Raw genomic sequence first — 19,162 nt, 5'->3', positions numbered from 1 at the left:
TGCTGTGCTGGAGGTCACCCGGCCCCTACAGGGAAGGGATGTCTCATTGTGGCTGCATGCTATCCTTTCTGCAGAGCATGGGGGTTGCTATTGTTATACCCATTGTACACATGGAGAACAGGAGGCCTAGAGAGATGAGGTAATTTAACTGATACCCAAGTTAGTAGAATTAATAAGTGGAGGGGTCAGGATTCAAACCCCAGGGGTGGAAGTGGCAGGCATGTGCGGAGGCCCAGGGTGGTGATGGATCCTGCAGCCTCAGCCTCCCCAAACCCAACTTCAGCCAACATTGACCAATTGCCAGCTCTGGGATCTTGCAGATGTGATTAAGGTCATGGACCTGAAGATGGAATTTAGCCTGGATTATCCATGTGGGACCCATCTAATCACCCAAGTCCGTGAAAGTGTAGGACCGTTCCTGGTTGTATTGGAGACAGCTGTAGCAACAGAAAAAGGCTCAGCAAGGCATGACATGAAGACTCGACCAGCGGTGCTGGATGTGAAGATGGAGGAGGGGGCCACCAGCCTAGGAACACAGGCAGCTTCTAGAAGCTGGAAAAGGCAAGGAAACAGATCCTCCTGGGACCTTCCGGAAGGAACCAGCCCTGCCCACACCTTGGTTTCAGCCCAGTGAGGCCTGTGTCAGACCTCTGACCTCCAGACTGGAAGATAATAAATATGCTCTTTTAAGCCTCTCAGTTTGCAGTCATTTGTCATGGCAGCGCCAGGGACCCCATATCCCTGGGCACTTCGTCCTGGTGACAAAGCCACCCCTTTAGGTAGGGATTTTCCCTGCTCACAGGCAAGGGCCCTTGGGAGGTCCACAGCACGCAGGGAAGCAGCAAAGCGGGGCCTGTAGCCCTGGTGGCACCACGTTGCCTTTCTTGAGCAGGGCAAGGGTAGGGCTCTTTCCTGGGGAGTTTCTGGTGGTGGTTTATGGGGCTGCAGAGGACAGAGGGGCAGCCAGATGGTGGCAGAGGTAGTGAGCAGGGCTTCTAGAGGGCCAGGCGTGTGAGGGCTGGAGCCTGTGGAGTGGTGGGGAGCTGGCCCCTGGCCAGGGACAGCTTGGCCTGCTCCAGCGGGGTCTGCACACATGGATGGGCCCCCACTCCACACCAGGCCCTGCGCTCAGAGCTGTGGCAGGCAGAGATGGCCTTGAGAGGGCTGGGAGAAATGATGCTCAATGCTTTCCCTCCCTGGATCTCTCCGGAGCTCATCTCCGGAGAGCGGGTCCTGACGTTCCTGACACCCACTGGGCTAGGTCCGGGGCTTGGCTTGGCGGGGGCGCCCCTGGGTGACCTACCCTCCTGCCCGACCTGACCTCCACCCACTGGGCTAGGTCCAGGGATTGGCTTGGCGGGGGGTGGGGGAAGCCTGGGTGACCTGGCTTCCTCCCTGACCTGCCCTCCATGTCATTCCTAGTATTCACAGAGGACACACCAGGCTCTATACGGAGGGCTGTGTACACATCATCTCATCCATCCACACAGCCACCTGATCAAGAGGATTCTGTGATTTTTCCGCGCATTTTATAAATAAGGAAACTGAAGCGTGAAGAGGTGGGTGAGTCCCTCATGGCCACAAACTGTGAGTGTTGGGGCCAGGGTCTGACCCCAGGCAGCGTGTCCGCAGAGCCCCAAGGTCTTAATTACTAAACTGTATCCTGGACCTTCTGGCTACCTGGTGGGGCCTCAGGCCTCGGAAGGTGACATTCTGGTGTGTGTTTTCCCAGCCGCTGCTCACACCTTTCCCTGCCTGAAACCAACTGTGCACCCTTTGCTCCTGAAAAGCCTCCTGAGCTGAGCGCCTCGATTCCTCCTTTCCCCACAGCCCAGGCCCCCTGGCACTGGCACGGACACAGATGTGAGACCAGGGACCATCATTCACTCACCACCGTGTCCCTGGTGCCCTGCACAGTCCTTAGGGACTACTTACTGAGCGAGGTGTATGTGGGCTCAACACTGGGTCCCCTGCAGGAGCCCAGAGAACCCTGCTCAACACTGCAGATCAAACACCCTCGCTCCCACAGGCTCGAGAGTCAAAGAAGGGATCAAAACAAAGAGAACGGGAGCTGGACCGTGGCCTTGAAGATGGGAAGCAAGAAGGCACATGGGGGAGTGGAAACAGCTTAGAGACTGAGAGAGCAGAGCCCAAGCCCGCGGTGGGGGCAACCACAAGGCAACTGGTTTGCATCATAGAACCCCAGAAAGGCTCTGGGCCTGGAGGCACCAGGGACCTCTGAGGGTGGGGAGAAAATTGAGGTTTTCTGAATGTCTTCCTCAGCAAGCATCCCTCTCCCAGCCCTGCAGAAGGCGGGAGGTTCATTCCCCAGGGATTGTGCGAGAGGCTGCGGGGACCGGGACCCCAGGAAGACCTGGCGGCAGGCAGCCAACTGAGAACAGGTCACACCCAACCCACCCACACCCCGGGGAAGGTTAAAGGCCCCCTCACTGGGAAACTGGCCAGCTGGAGAGAAAAGACCTAGGTTTGGACACTTGGAGGTCCCTCGAGATACTGCTCCATCGGCCAGACACGGTGGCTTACCCCTGTAATCCCAGCACTTTGGGAGACCAAGGCGGGCGGATTACCAGTGGTCAGGAGTTTGAGACCAGCCTGGCCAACACGGCGAAACCCTGTCGTTGCTAAAAACACAAAAATTATCCAGGCATGGTGGCATGCACCTAGAATCATAGCTACTCGGGAGGCTGAGAGGGAGGAGAATGGCTTGAACATGGGAGGTGGAAGTTGCAGTGAGCCAAGATTACACCACTGCACTCCAGCCTGGGCGACAGTGAGACTCCATCTCAAAAAAAAAAAAAAAAAAAAGGTACTGCTCCACCAAAGCATCCAACTGGGAAGCTGGCAGTTTGACACGCATCCCCACTCTGCCACAGGCACACAGAGATTCCAGGCAGCTGCTGAGATAGAAGCAGACAGCCCAGAATGCCAGACACTCAAGGACAGCCCTGCTGTGGAAAAGACCAAGACAAAAACAAGCAAACAAGCAAAGAGGAAGGAAAAGAAGCTGCAACCTTTAGCTACAGTGCCAGGTGGAATACCGTTTTCAAAACTCGGATAATGGATATCTGCATAGAGATAAGAGAATATGGAAAACATAGCCAAGGAAACACGTGGAGACTCTAAGGAAACCATGGAAATTAGAAGCATGATTGCAAAAATAAAGATCTCTGCAAAGATTGGAAGATACGGTTGAGGAAATTTCTCAGGAAGTAGAACAAAAAATATCAAAGAGAATCCCAAAGAAAATAGGTGAGAAAAAGAGATAACCTCGGCTGGGCGTGGTGGCTCACACCTGTTAATCCCAGCACTTTGGGAGGCCAAGGCAGGCTGATCACTTGAGGTCAGGAGTTTGAGACCAAGCTGGCCAACATGGTGAAACCCGTCTCTACTAAAAATACAAAAATTAGCCGGGCGTGGTGGCACGTGCCTGTAATCCCAGCTACTCGGGAGGCTGAGGCAGGAGAATAGCTTGAACCCGGAAGGCAGAGCTTGTAGTGAGCAGAGATCATGCCACTGCACTCCAGCCTGGGTGACAGAGTGAGACTCCATCTCAAAATAAATAAATAAATAAATAAATAAACAAACAAACAAAGCTAACCTCCTCAAAGAGGCCTCAGCACACAGATATGAGGAGTTCAACAAAGAAAATGGAGGAAATAAAATATTCAAAATGTTTCTGACCTGAAGAATCAAACTTTGCAGATGAAAAGAAACTACAGTGCCCGGCGCAATGGTGGAAAGCCTACCCACTTCCAGGGCCATCCCTTTGAGGATCAGAACTCAGGGAGACTGAGAACACTGTAAACGATAGCTTAGGAGAATCAGAATATGTCTTCAGGCTTCCCAGCAGCAATAAGGGAAGGGAGCGCTGCTTTCAAACTCTAAGAAGAAATTCTTGGACCTCGAATGCTGGCTATGCCCCTTCAAACTATTGATTACACGTGAGAGGGAAATGAAGGCTTTTTACCCATGCAAGGTTTTGTACCAATTAGCTTTTGGTGTGTAATGAAACACCCCAGAATTTAGTGTCTTAAAAAAAAAAGAGTAAAAACATTGACTATTTCTTACAATTCCGTGTGTGGGCTGGGAGGCAGAGCTGAGGATGAATGTTTTAGAACGGCCTCACTCACAGGTTTGCTGGTTGGCTCAGGACAACACAGATGCCATCAGCAGGCATCTCTCTCACCCAGCGGGCTCTCCCAGGCCAGCCCTGTGATCGCCCCAGTTGTTACCAGAAAGCGGTCTCAATCCAGACTCAAGAGAGGGTTTTTGGTTCTTGCACAAGAAAGAATTCGGGACGAGTCCACAGAGTAAAGTGAAAGCAAGTTTATTAAGACAGTAAAGGCAAGAAGGAATTGCTACTCCATAGGCAGCGTACGGTGTTCCCAAGAGCAAGATGAGGAACACATGTGCCTTAGGTACAGTGCTTGTTCATATATAAGACAAAGGCACAAAATCCTGGGGGAGGTGTGCTCTGCTACTAGGGCTGGTGACTAAGGATTGTTCATCTTTGTGCAACTACTGTCTTCTGCAAGAATCTTTAAAGCAAAACCTTTTTTTTTTTTTTTTTTTTTTAGACGGAGTCTTGCTCTGTCGCCCAGGCTGGAGTGCTGGAGTGCAATGGTGCGATCTCCACTCACTGCAACCTCCGCCTCCCAGGTTCAAGCACTTCTCCTGCCTCAGCCTCCCAAGTAGCTGGGATTACAGGTGCCAGCCACCATACCTTGCTATTTTTTTGTATTTTTAATAGAGATGCATTTCACCATGTTGGCTAGGCTGGTCTTGAACCCCTGACCTCAGGTGATCTGCCCACCTCAGCCTCCCAAAGTGCTGGGATTACAGGTGTGAGCCACCACGCCCAGCCACCAAACTTATTTTTGAACTAAGAATGCTTTTGTTCTTAAGGTGTCGGGACATCAGGACATCTCCTGGATCTGTTAAGTCCGGGGTCTGTTTGGTAAACATCGTTCACTTGTTCCCCATCTGTGAATCTCCTGTTGACTAAGAATGCCTAACCTCCTGGGAATATAGCCCAGCAGGTCTCAGCCTCATTTTACCCAGCCCCTATTCAAGATGGAGTCACTCTGGTTCCAATGTCTCTGACACTGGAGCCCCCAGTGTCAGTAAGATAAGCCCCAAGGCACACCTGCCTCTCAAGTCTCTGCTTGTGTCATATTTCCTGTCGTCTCATGGGCCAAAACAAGTCACAGGAGCAAGCCCAGGTCACCGTGAGGGGAGATGACCCAAAGGTATGGACCTATGTTGGGAAGTTTTCAGACTGGCTCCCGTTCACATAAAGGCAATTTCTCAGGAAGTTGCTGGAGGGTGTGCGCCACTAACACGAAACCAGGAAAGAAGGAAACACATGAGGCAGGGACTCCTGGTTGTCCCTGACATCTGACCTTCCCTTCGTACGTCGCATTGGAGTTGTTATCTGGACACAGGATTGTCCCCCAGAGCCAGGTGGGGCCAACAGCGAGGACAATGGAAGTGATCTGCTCCAGGCACTACTGTAAGAGGGGAGAAGCCTGTCTTTCACCTGCCCTCCCATCCTAAAGGCTGGCCAGACTGTAGACACAGTGCTGAAAGTGTAACCACCCAGTGGGTTCACCTTGCCCACTGCCTGGACAGAGCCGATTTATCAAGACAGGGGAACTGCAATGGAGAAGGTAATTTATGCAGAGCTGGCTGTGAGGGAGGCTGGAGTTTTATTATTACTCAAATCAGTCTCCCCAAGCATTCGGGGATCAGAGTGTTAATTTCAATTATAACTTTATTAATTAATTAATTTGGAGACAGAGTCTCACTCTGTCGCCCAGGCTGGAGTGCAGTGGCACGATCTTGGCTCACTGCAACCTCCACCTCCTGGGTTCGGGCGATTCTCCTGCTTCAGCCTCCCGAGTAGCTGGGATTACAGGCACCCACAACCATGACCGGCTAATTTTTGTATTTTTAGTAGAGATGGGGTTTCACTGCATTGGCCAGGCTGGTCTCAAACTCATGACCTCAAGTGATCTGCTCATCTTGGCCTCCCAAGGTGCTGGGATTACAGGCGTGAGTTACTGCGCCCGGCCGGGATCACAGTTTTTGAAGACAATTTGGTGGGTAGGGGCTTGGGAAGTGGAGAGTGCTGATTGGTCAGGTTGGAGATGGAATCATAGTGGGTTGAAGTGAGGTTTTCTTAATGTCTTCTCTTCCTAGGTGCAATGGTAGAACTGGTTGAGCCAGATTACTGGTCTGGGTGGTGTTGGCTAATCCATCGAGCACAGGGCCTGCAAAATATCTCAAGCACTGATCTTAGGTTTTACAATAATGATGTTATCCCCAGGAGCAATATGCCGAGGTTCAGACTCTTAGAGCCAGAGGCTGCATGACCTCTAAACTGTGATTTCTAATCTTGTAGCTAATTTGTTAGTCCTGCAAAGGCAGACTGGACCCTAGGCAAGAAGGGGGGTCTTTTTGGGAAAGGGCTGTTATCAATTTTGTTTCAGTCAAACCATGAACTGAATTCCTTTCCAAAGTTAGTTTGGCCTATGTCCAGGAATGAACAAGGACAGCTTAAAGGTTAGAAGGAAGATGGAGTCGGTTAGGTCTGATTTTTTTCACTGTCATAATTTCCTCAGTTATAATTTTGTAAAGGTGGTTTCAGGACCTGGAGCAACTAGTTTAGATCTCAAGATAGAAAATGTGGGTCAAAAGAGAGAGAGCGACAAGAGAGAAGAAACCTGCCTGGAGCCAGCACACTAGCCTAGGCCACCTACTCAGATGGTGACCTGAGAGAGAAATACAATTCTGGTTTGCATAAACTTCTGTATTGGGGGGTCTCTTTGTTATAGCAGCCTAGCCTGTTTCCCAGTTAATCCATCTGGGATCCCAGAAACAGGGATACCACGGAGGAGAGACACAAAAGGAACACCCGGGTGACAGTGAGGGAGTCCCCAGGGTGACAGCTGGGTGGTGGGCCTAGAGAGTGAACAGTCCAGATTGACACAGGAAGATGGGAAGTTCCAAACAACAAATCTACGGGGCTGGGGAAGCAGAAATTGAGAGCTTATCTGATAGTTTTAACACATTGAGAAAAATTTTCTATTTTTCACAAATGAATTAGTGGTCAATGTGGAGAAAACTAGACAAACAAAAAACTAGATAATTATTAGGCACAGCATAAACAAAAAGTAATCATAAGCCGGCCGCAGTGGCTCACGCCTGTAATCCCAGCACTTTGGGAGGCCAAGGCGGGTGGATCACCAGAGGTCAGGAGTTTGTGACCAGACTGGCTAACGTGATGAAACCCTGTCTCTGTGGTGGTGTGTGCCTGTAATCCCAGCTACTTGGAAGGCCGAGGTAGGAGAATCGCTTGAACCCGGGAGGCGGAGGTTGCAGTGAGCTGAGATCATGCTACTGCACTCCAGCCTGGGTGACAGAGTGAGACTCAGTCTCCAAAAAAAAAAAAAAAGAAAGAAACATAATCATAGTGCCTTCCGTGGCCCAGCAGTGAATCCTATTTACACAGCACAGAAATGATGGACACTGATTTAACAGGACCCAGTGAGATGGTGATACTGGGAAGGTGGCTTGTCCATTAAAGTCTCGTTGAAGGAGGCCAGAGGGGCCATATGAGAGACGATTTTTCTTTCATGGTGTCTACACATATTATCTCAAACTGGAAAATCAGAAATAGCATTTGAACATGTTATTCCAAAACATGAAGGTAATTAGCAGAAGAAACAGCTGAAAGGGGTGGAGGCCGTTCCTCTGAGGCATGGCAACTGGGGGTGAGAGCAAAGGGATAGGGGCTTTAAAAACCATGAGCATTTAATTTAATTTAAAGAGAAAGGAAGCAAAGATGTTGCCGGAAAGGGGTCCCAATCCAGACCCCAAGAGAGGGCTCTTGGATCTCGTGGAAGAAAGAATTCAGGGCAAGTCCATGGAGAAAAGTGAAAGCAAGTTTATTAGGAAAGTAAAGGAATACAAGAATGGCTACTCCATGGACAGAGCAGCCCGAGGGCTGCTGGTTGCCCATTTTTATGGTTATTTCTGATGATATGCTAAACAAGGGGCGGATTATTCATGCCTCCCCTTTCTAGACCATATAGGGTAACTTCCTGACATTGCCATGGCATTTGTAAACTGTCATGGCGGTGGTGGGAGTGTGGCAGCAAAGACGACCAGAGGTCACTCTCATGGCCATCTTGGTTTTGGTGGATTTTGGCCGGCTTCTTTACTGCAAACTGTTTTATCAGCAAGGTCTGTATGGCTTGTATTTTGTGTCAACCTCCTATCTCACCCTGTAACTTAGATGCCTTAACTGTCTGGGAATGCAGCCCAGTAGGTTTCAGCCTCATTTTACCCATCTCCTATTCAAGATGGAGTTGCTCTGGTTCACACGCCTCGACAGCCCTGCCATATGACTCCTGATGGGTGGGGTGGAGAGTGTGAGAAGGGTTCAGGGACTGGCAGAACCTGAGCTGGGCTGGCAGGAGATGGAGATGCCTCCAAACCAAGGGGTTCCTGGGTGGAACATGCTCTGCTCTGTCTCCACTCTGGAGCAGGGTTTGCTGATGACAGTCCCTGCACTTCCTCAGGCCCCCGCTTACCTATCTGCCCATTGGAAGGGAGCGTGTCTTGACCATGCCCAGCACAGGAGCCTTGAGAACTGGAGAATGAATGGATGATGGACTAAATCCATAAATTCATGAATGATTGAATAAATGATTGAAGGAATGAATGGCTCCATGAATGAATGATTGTGTAAATGATGGTGTGATAGATACTTCATTTCTCAACAAATCATAGCCACCCTGAAAAGCAGATCTTTATAATCCTGATCTCACAGAGGAGCCAACTGAGGCTGGAAAAGTTAGGAGGTGTGCCCAAGGCCCATCCTATAGGATAGTGACAAGTGTGACCACTGATTGACACCTACTGTGTGCTGGGCCTTGTGTCGCACACTTTGCACTCTATCGTATTCTACATAAACCCATGAGGCAGGTCCTATTATTGCTCCTGTTCTAGAGGTAAGGAACTTGAGCTTCAGAGGTTAGGGAACCTGCCCAGGGCCACACAGTAAAGGCAGAGGCCAGGCTGGAACGCAGGTCTCTCAAACCTATGCGGTCATAGGTTCTGGAGCTGGGGTCTGGCCCCATTCTGTCCTGACCCCAGTGCCTCTGTTCTTCCTCCACTGATACCTCAAAGCAAAGGGTGGTGAACTCCACCCAGCCTGCAGAATCTAGGGAAAGTTGTAAGGTTTCTATTGGTAACTATATTAGGGTTCTCCGGAGTGACAGAAGTTATAGGATCTATGTGTCTATGAAAGGGGGTTTATCAGGGAGAATTGACTCACATGATCACAAAGCAAAGTTTCCTGATAGGCTGTCTGCAAGCTAGGGAAGAAGGAAGCCAGTAGTGGCTCAGCCCGAGTCCAAAAGCCTCAAAAGTAGGGAAGCCAAGAGTGCAGCCTTCAATCTGTGGCAGAAAGCACAGATTTCGGCAAACCACTGGTGTAAGTCCCAGAGTCCAAAGGCCGAAGAACCTGTAGTCTGATGTCCAAGGGCAGGAGGAGTGGAAGGAAGCATCCAGCATGTGAGGAAGATGAAGGTGGAAGACTCAGCAAGCCAGCTTCTCCCACCTTCTTCTGCCTGCTTAGTTGGAGGCGCGCTGGCAGCGGATTGGATGGTGCCCACCCACATGGAGGAGAGGTCTTCCTCTCCCAGTCCACTGACTCAAATTTCAGTCTCCTCTGGCAACACCCCCACAGACACACCCAGAAACAATGCTTCACTAGCTTTCTAGGCATCTCTCAATCCAATCAAGTTGACACCTAACGGTAACCATCACAGTACCTATCGGGATTCATTCTTTATATGCTACAAAAAGTTCCTGCGTAATAACTTCTGCTAGTTTTTGCTGAAAGAAATCCAAACAGCCTCGAAAAGGGGACAGCCTCCTTGACTTAAACTAAACACAAAGCCCTCCCTGGTTTGGAAATACCTGGAGAAACTTGCCCCTTGGGTCTGAGCAGCCGTAGAGCAAGCAAGGGCAGTGATGGTGAGAGGTGACAGCGTACTGGCAGCCCCGCTCGCTCTCGGCGCCCCCTCTGGCCGCGCTTCAGGGGCCCTTCAGCCCGCCGCTGCACCGTGGGAGCCCCCTCTCTGGGCTGGCCGAGGCCGGAGCCGGATCCCTCTGGGCTGGCCGAGGCCGGAGCCGGATCCCTCGGCTTGTGGGGAGGTGTGCAGGGAGAGGCGCGGGCGGGAACGGGGCTGCGCGCTGCGCTTGCGGGCCAGCGAGAGTTCCGGGTGGGCGGGGGCTCAGCTGGCCTCGCTCTCGGAAAAGCCGGTCGGCGCCGCCCGCCACGGGCGGTGAGGGGCTTAGCACCCGGGCCAGCAGCTGTGGAGGGTTCGCCGGGTCCCCCAGCAGTGCCAGCACTGCGCTCGAATTCTCGCCGGGCGTCAGCTGCCTCCCCGTAGGGCAGGGCTGGGGACCTGCAGCCCACCATGCCCGAGCCTCCCCCTGGCCGTGGGCTCCTGCGCGGCCCAGCCTCCCCGACAAGCGCCGCCCCCTGCTCCGCGGCACGCCGGGTCCCATCGACCGCCCAAGGGCTGAGGAGTGAGGGCGCAGGGCGCGGGACTGGCGGGCAGCTCCACCTGCAGCCCGGTTGGGGGATCCACTAGGTGAAGCCAGCTGGGCTCCTGAGTCTAGTGGGGATTTGGAGAACCTTTGTGTCTAGCTAAGGGACTGTAAATACACCAATCAGCACTCTGTGTCTGGCTCAAGGTTTGTAAAGGCACCAATCAGTGCTCTGTGTCTAGCTAATCTAGTGGGGACTTGGAGAACTTTTGTGTCTAGCTCAGGGATTGTAAACGCACCAATCAGCACCCTGCAAAACGGACCAATCAGCTCTCTGTAAAACAGACCAATCAGCTCTCTGCAAAATGGACCAATCAGCAAGATGTGGGTGGGGCCAGATAAGGGAATAAAAGCAGGCTGCTGGAGCCAGTAATGTTGACACCCTCGGGTTGTCTTCTGTGGTGTGGAGGCTTTGTTCTTTTGTTCTTTGTGATAGATCTAATTGCTGCTCACTCTTTGGGTCTGTACTGCGTTTATGAGCTGTGACACTCGCCGTGAAGGTCTGCAGCTTCACTCCTGAACCAGCGAGAGGAGGAACCCACCAGAAGGAGGAAAACGCGGAACACATCTGAATATCAGAAGGAACAAACTCCAGACACGCCGCCTTTAAGAACTGTAACAGTCACCGCGAGGGTCCGTGGTTTCATTCTTGAAGTAAGTGAGACCAAGAACCTGCCAATTTCAGACACAATGGAGAGCGCCAGTCCTGCTGCGGGGCCATACATCTATTTAATTTCCTCTCATCTTCCCCCCGGTTCCGAGAGGAAGGTGCTTTCACCTGCACTGTTCCCATGAGGAAACGAGGCTTCAGGAATCTGATAAAGCTTCCAAACTCCCGTGGCTGGCAGGAACCAAGGTTTCGATGGCCGGACTTCTCAGCCCCCCAGGTGGAAAAGCAGGAGGCATGACAGATGAGGGTGAGAGTGCATGCCAGGTCAGGCTGAGAAGGCGACAATGCCATATGGTTTTTTCCACTTAGCTTAGCTCCAGGATGACTTTGAACAGTGTTACAGCCCCATGGGCAGAAAATTGCACTTGCCTCAAGCTTCATTAAAGCAAATCGAGTCAGAAGGGATTGAAACACCTGGAAGAAATGCAATGGATTCAAACAGGGAAAAGGTGTGGGTCCGTCCCTTTTCCTGGTAAATCCAGCAGCCTAGGAGATGTCAGAAAAACATTCCAAGGTTCCTGGACTTTTAAAGAGGCTAAGGATGGGGCCTGCCAGGTACAGGATGGCCCATGCAGGTGGAGATGCAGCCACAGGATACCTGGGATTCATTGCAGCCTCGTCACTTACCAGTGTTGGCACTGTATCGGTTATCCCGAATTTAACAGCCTAAAGCCACATTCGTCATCTTATACTCTGTGGGGGTAGGGAATCCAGGAGTGGATTCACCAGGAGGTTCTGGCTGGGTGTCTCCCCGGAGCCGCAGGCGAGTGTGGGCCGTGGCAGCCATCCCTGTTTCCAAGTGCACCATGTGGCAGTTGGCTTGAGGCTCCAGGTCCTTGAGGTGCAGGCTTCCCCACGGGGCTGCTCGCGGCATGGCTTCCTCACCCAGAGTGATGGATCCGAGAGAGAGCAGCCAAACTGAAAGCCACAGCCTTTTGTAAGCAAACCTCAGAAGTGACATCTCGTCACATCTGCCATATTCTACTGGTCGCACAGACCTATCCTGCTACATGGAAGGAGCAGCAGGAAGGTGGTGGGGATTGCTGGGACCATCTTGGAGGCTGCCACAGACATCCAAGGTGAGTTACCGCCCTGCTCCGTGCCCAGGTACCCCTGGATAAAGTGGGGACAATAACATCACCCTCACGAGGTTTTCAAAAGCATGTCCACAAAGCAGCCACCAGTGTCAGGCAGGCGGTAGGTGTTCTGCAGGGAGTAGTCGGCTGCCCCACCCAGCTCTGGGCCCAGCTCCCTCTGATGGGGCTGGTGTCCTTGGGGCTCTTCCAGCTCCAGCAGAAATGGGGAGCGGGATACCGGGTCACCTCACTGCCTGGCTTGCTGGGCCAGGCTCTCGGCTCTCAGCCCCAGTTATACACTCATCTCAGCCGGGGCTTCCCAAAACGCAGCACCCGAGTTCTTCCCATCTTTGGGGGTGGGATTCAGCACAGGACCCCACTGTCCTAAAGAGACAGGTTATTCTGTGACTAAAATAGGAAGGAAAGGGCCTTTCTGGCTAACGGCAGAAAAAAACACATCTAGTTAGAGGAAAGCTTGAAACAGTGAGTTTAGCTGATTTGATCACTTCTGGACGGAAAGAAAAGGGAACCCGAGTCTTTTCTGTTTTGTTTGCTTTGTTTTGTTCCCCAAGCTACTTTCCAAAGTCACTGTAGAAGTTCAGCACTTTAGGAACAACTTTAACAATGGTTTGCCAGCCTCCAAGGTGTGGTTTCCTAGCAACTGGGAAGCTTTTAGAGCTCCAAATAATTGATCAAGTTATGAGTGACTCAAGCAACAGCGAAGTCCTTTTTAGAAAAACAACAAAGCACCTTTATCTTTACCTGGGTGCTGTTAGAATTACGCGGGGGGCCCACGCAGATGACATCATGAGCCTCAGAGAGGGACAGACAAGCTGCAAAAGGCAGCAACATTCAGGGATAACAGGCAGGGAGCAGGAGCCCAAAGGTTTTCCAGGAGACACCTCAGAGAGGGGCTCAGGAGCCATGCAGAGGGGTGGGGGCATGGGAATCTGGGACGCTAGAGCCCTGTCAGTGGCCCAGTCTGACTCTGTCAGCTGTGTCTCTCTGGAGGCTGCAGGCGAGAACCATCTCCTCACCTTTTCCAGCGTGAGAGACACCCACATTCCTTGGCTCATGGCCCCTTCCCCCATCTTGAAGCTTGCAGGGTGGCATCTTCCAATCTCACACCCTGACCCTCCAGCCTCCCTCTTACAAGGACACTTGAAATTACTTTGGGCCCTTCTGGATAGGAAAGTCCAGAATCATCTCCCCGGTATCAAGATCTTTAACTGAATCCCATCTGCAACATCCCTCCTGCCATGCAAGGGAACACACAAACAGGATTTGGGGATTAGGACCTGGACACCTTTGGGGGCTGCGATTCTACCGCCCGCAGTCTTCACAATGGACGTGTCTATTTTGCAACAGCCGCTAGGATGAGAAAATGCATGGTATGTGTCCAGCATATAGTGGGTGCTCCATTAATGTGGTGAAACTGGGCAGAGCATCACAGCGCTCACGGTAGATGACTGTAGCACTTTTCTCTACCTGCCATTGTGCTATATTCACTGACTGGTACCTGGTCCATCTCCCCACAAACACCCCTCCCAGTGGGGCAGGGGCTCTCTGTTCATTCTGCATCCCCTGTGCCAGGAAGAGTGAAGCACACAGCAGGTGCTGAATATTTTGAGTGAATGAGTGTTCATTTTCTTTGTCATGAAGAGGAAGCACCATTTATCGGATAGGGTCCTGGCTGTCAAAGTGTGCTTTCCCCGAGCTGCCGGATGAGACGTGTTGGGCCACGTGGCTGTTTGTTTAATAGCCCTGACACCCCATCCTGCTGATTGGGAGCTGGGGTGGTTACAGGATTCTGTCCTCAGGTGGCAGACTTGAGAGACAGGTCCTGGTTCATGGGCATCTGCAGAAATGTGCGTTTTTGTCACCTCACTTGGGAGTGTACTTGCATGATGTAGGATCAAAAAAAAGGAAGAGAGCACTTGAATGATTGAGCTTTGAATGACTGGTCTTTAACAGCATGTCCAAAGGAGGCAGAGAGGTCTTTCTGATGGCTTCGCTACCCAAGAATGGACAGTGAAGGCCCCCTGAAAGAATGCCCCTAGGGAGCTGGGCTTCCAGAGGGCTTGGAAACTCTGGCGCCAAACCCTCTCTTGGCACTTGAGATGGCACCACCCAATTCGGTCTTTCCTGACTCATTCTCTCAAATGCTACTACTTCGTAGAAGCAAAGTGAGACCCTGCCCCCGGTCCCTCCCTGGGTGTCCTACAGCTCCATACGGTGAAGGGGCAGACCAGAGCAGGTGGCCGGGACGGGGTGTTAAATAATGGCTGTTCCTGCAGACGGCAGGTTCTTTCCTGGGTGGGGTGGTCGGCGGGGCCCGGGGAGCCTCTCTGTAAAACCCAGAACAAATGTGGAGGCTGCAGTGAGCCGAGATAGCACTACACTCCAGCCTGGGTGACAAAGTGAGACCCTATTTCAAACAAACAAACAAACAAAAACGGTGTTGCTAAGAAGTTTTGAAAACCACTAACTTAGCCCAGGCTTTCCGTTTTACAGATTGGGACACTGAGGCCTGGGGACAGGTGTTAAATGGTGCCGGGTGGCACAGGGGTTTGTGGCAGAATGAGTGGAACCCGGGACCATGCCCATTCTGGACTCTGCCCAAAAGACAGCACCACTTCTCCTCCAACCTGTGCCTCTGCCGGTTGGTTAGAAACTAATTGTGGATGCTGAGTGGCAGTGTGGTGGCCCAGGGGAAGGGGACAGGCAGAGCTCTGTCCTTCCTGCTCTGCTATGTGCCATGTGATAACGTGCTAATGTGCTATGGCCTCCACTCTGAACCTCGGTGCCGTCTTCTGTAGATGGGGGATGTTGGAGCATCTTCCTCATCCAGGGGTTGTGAGGGAGATGCTGTGTTGTCATCTTTGTTCACTTGGAAAGCATCAGGCGACTTCCCTCCTCTGCAGTCAGTGGGGATCCTGGGGGCAGAGTCACAGGGCGAGGGCCTTCCATGGCTTCACAAATCCACAGAATGGGGAGAGGAAATGAGGCTGAACCCCAACCTCATCTCATTGCCTGGGAAAGAAACCCAGGGGCGAGCATGTGGCTCGGAGTGATGACACCTCCTGAGCCTCTCGTGTGGTTTCACGCAGAGGACAGTGTGGGGGTGCAGCTTCCACCACCCGTGGCTCGGAGTGATGACACCACCTGAGCCTCTCGTGTGGTTTCACGCAGCCCCTCCAGGCAGGACAAACCAGGATGAGAGGACAGTGTCGGGTGTAGCTGCCACCACCCAGTGTCGTCCAAGGAAAATGGAGCAACCACATCCTGCATGGCAACACCAGGTGGCCAAGCCAGATCGTGTGACCACTCGACGCTTCCCACCCACAGCAAAGAGGTGAGGCCTGGTGCCCAGCAGAGAGCAGCCCAGCCTACGGGGGACAGGAGCAGGTACAGGCCACGTCCTCAACCTCAGGGAAGACACCAAAGACCCAAGGGGCTGGGACAGACAGGCTGCCCAAGAGGGGTGAGGTTTGCTGAGGGGCCTGCAGCTGCTCGGGTGCCCCCAAATGACTAAGTTCTGATTATAATCCCATGGGGTCATCACTGCAGGTTAGGGAACACAGGAGGTGGTTTCACAACACACTCCCGCATGGACAGCAGCCCCCACGCCATCAATCACCCTGTAGGCTCCACTTCATGGGTAACTGGAATTCAAAGATAATTATGACCGTGCACTTTCCGCTCAGTAAGATCTGAAGATGGCTGGGCTGACACTCCATGGTCACCTTCAGCACAGGTCTCTCTGCACAGGCAGCCCATGCCCAGGCCACCCCACAGTTACGGCAGATGCCCCAGGGGCCCCTCCAGCTGGAGATGAAGCCAGGGTCTCGCTGTGGCAGGAAGCCATCAACTGTGAAACATCAACCTTGCTCTTTTATAACTCAAATTGCACTTGCATTTCATTCAACAGGAGTGCAGGCTCTGCTGATTCTCACGCACGTACAAGAAAGACTTCTTTTCGGTAAAGAAAGGAAGGAAAGCGCTGCAGGTTCCACCAGAGGCTTTTATTTCAGCCACTCAGGACCCTGGCTTTCTGCTCCAAGGCACTGAACACAGTCAGGCTCTTCTAAACACTGGCAGGGACCTCCCCCACAGCCGCCCCCACAGGGTTCTCTGTTTCCCAAGTCCTGATGGATTCAGGCAAGACCTTCACACATTCACCCACTACCTGCTGGACAGGAGGGTCATGAGGCAGCCTGTGGTGCCCAGCTCAGTGTGACACACTGCCAATGTGCCGCCTCCCCCAGCCTCTGATGGGGCCGGGCCTTGACCACGTGACAGGCTCAAGCTGCCGTGCACATCCCCCAGGAAAGGGGAAGAGCTGCTAAGGTGTAGCAGTGACCAAACAAATAAGAAATGCTACTGTGGAGGTTACACAGATGCTTATTTGGTTTTTAAACAAATCCAACACAAAAGAAAGAAAGAGGGAACAGGGTGCTTGAAGGTGGGGGAGGAGAGGGAATCTCATCTGTAAAGTGCTTTTCCAGACACCGGAACCTCCTAGTCTAGCCTGGCACACCCATGTCACTCAGAAAGGTCAGGCTCAGGGTGGAGATGGCATGCAATTCCCAACACACTTGGTATTCAGAGTGGACAGAGCTACACAGCAGCCTTCCCTTTGTCGGGGTCCACGCAATCTACACATGGTCGCAAGGTCTCTGCAGCCACAGTCTGCACACGTGGGCACAGGCGGCACTGGTGCATGCCTGTCGGGCTGGGGCCACACTGGGGAAAGGCCTCATGGCAACATGCACTGGAAGCTCCTCGTGGCGGACCATCCTCAGGCCGCCGACAGGAATGGGAAGAAAAAGAAGTCGAAGGCGAACTTCACGGCGCCATGCACGGTGCTGCGCCAGTCGTGCTCGATCTTCACGTGCCGCCTGGTGGGTGAGAGCTGGGCCATGCAGTTGAGGCAGCTGATGGCCTTGAGCTCGAAGACAGGCCACTTGCTGCCCAGGCGGCCCTCCAGGATGGTGCTGAACTCGATGAGGCTGCCCTGGCGCAGGCTGAGCAGCACGCTCTTGAACTCGCTGCTGGCCCGCAGCACGATGTCCTTGGTGACGTCGTCCTCCTCGCGGCTGCGCGAGCCGTCAGCGCCGCTGCTGAATGGCATGCCCACGGTAATCTCAAACTTGTAGCGGTCGAACTTCTTGATGTGGCAGGGGTGCTTGGCCAGCAGCTTAAGGCGACAGAGCTCCTCCTCGGCCGTGGAGGTGTTGCCAGGGCTGCAGGCAGGGTAGGCCTCGCCGTAGAGGCAGCGCATCCAGTCGCCGATGAAGAACGGGAGCATGTTGATGGCAGACTCGGCGCTGTTGTCGATGTCAGTCACGCGGACGTACTTGAAGCGGCCGGTCCACGTGACCCTGTGGCCCTCCAGGTGGCTGCAGAGGATCTGGGTGCGCGCCATGTTGGTCTCCTTCCAGGCGCGTGGCCCGCACAGCGCACCATACTGCTGCCAGGTCAGTGTGGAGTTGTAGACCTTCATGCCCTCTGAGCGGTACACATAGAACCAGCAGAACAGCACGATGGCCGTGAGCCACACCAGGATGAGCTTGACCATGGAGCTCCGCGTCAGGGACTTCACCATCCCCACCACAGAGAAGCTGGCCTTGGTCCACCAGCGCAACAGCAGGGGCACACTACAGACCGCCACGGTGACTGCGATCTTGGTGAGCTCCAGAGACGTGAACCACCGGGCGAACTGCAGCACGCCCACCAGGGCCAGGCCGGCCACCAGGATGGGGAGGGCAAAGAGGAAGAGGAAGTAGCCGATGGAGGCGCGGAGCAGCCCCAGGCCGGTGGACTCCAGCAGGATGACCACGGAGAGCTCACACCACATGAAGCACACCAGGTAGGGCACAAGGTAGCAGTAGGTGCCCTTGAAATTCCTCAGCTGTGCCATGCGGAAGAAGAGATAGAGCAGGTAGACATAGAGCAGGCACGGGACGCTGACGTTGAGGACGACCAGGTGGCCGACAGGCACGGTGATGAAGGTCTGGCCAAGGACCTTCAGGTAGGGCCAATTCAAGGGCATGGAGGGCAGCAGCGATAGCAGGCCGGCGGTGACCTCGGTGGCCAGGGCCCTGCGCGTGTAGGGCTCTGCATGGGTGCTCAGGCTCAGGTAGCTGGTCACGGTAAAGAAGCCGGTGATGACAGCCAGCTCCGAGCAGGGGATGCAGTCCTTGCTGGCGATGGGGAAGGAGAAGATGACGAAGAAGACAGAGAGCAGGAAATGGGCATAGGGCTCCAGGTGGTTCCAGCCGAAGTTGACCTCGGCCTGCTCCACATCCAGGTTGGGCTCGAAGCGCAGCAGCAGGTCGGTGAGGGTGCGGAAGTTCTCCCAGGCCTTGCTGTCCTGGAACACCTTGAGGGTGCAGATCACCATGGAGATGAAGGACAGGTAGAAGATGACCAGCGGGATGAAGAAGGCGAAGAAGTCGATGGTGAGGTTGCTGACGATGAAGAAGAAGATGAGCGCGTTGATGTGGTGCGTGGGGATGATGGTGGACAGCCAGTGCATGCCTGCCCTGGAGGCCATGTCAATCAGGTACTCCTTGATCTCCATGATGGCGTGCAGGGGGTACTTGACCACCTGGGGGAAAGATGGTACGTGGGAACGAGGCTGGGACAGGACCCCCACTGCTCCCATCTCACGCCTCCCTCTGACCACCCTGCCTCTGGGCAAAAGGAACCCGCACCCTTGCGTTTTCCCATCACCAGCCCCATCCTAGTGGTCCTCCCTCCCCCC

At 53.3% G+C, this 19,162-nt stretch overlaps 1 protein-coding gene across 2 annotated transcripts in view; it reads right to left on the bottom strand.

Annotated features, from left to right (window-relative positions):
* Positions 16,398 to 19,162, bottom strand: part of WFS1 (wolframin ER transmembrane glycoprotein) — a 33,416-nt gene continuing 30,651 nt past the window's right edge. For both annotated transcript variants that reach the window (NM_006005.3, NM_001145853.1), the window contains exon 8: positions 16,398 to 19,006. In NM_006005.3, the coding sequence (NP_005996.2) occupies positions 17,195 to 19,006 (1,812 nt within the window). In that variant the 3' untranslated portion in view covers positions 16,398 to 17,194. The remainder of the gene's footprint in view (positions 19,007 to 19,162) is intronic.

This window comes from Homo sapiens, chromosome 4, assembly GCF_000001405.40.
Source record: "Homo sapiens chromosome 4, GRCh38.p14 Primary Assembly".
Taxonomy (NCBI): domain Eukaryota; kingdom Metazoa; phylum Chordata; class Mammalia; order Primates; family Hominidae; genus Homo; species Homo sapiens.
The sequence above is the reverse complement of the archived record's forward strand: the minus strand, read 5'-3'. Positions and strand labels throughout refer to the sequence as shown.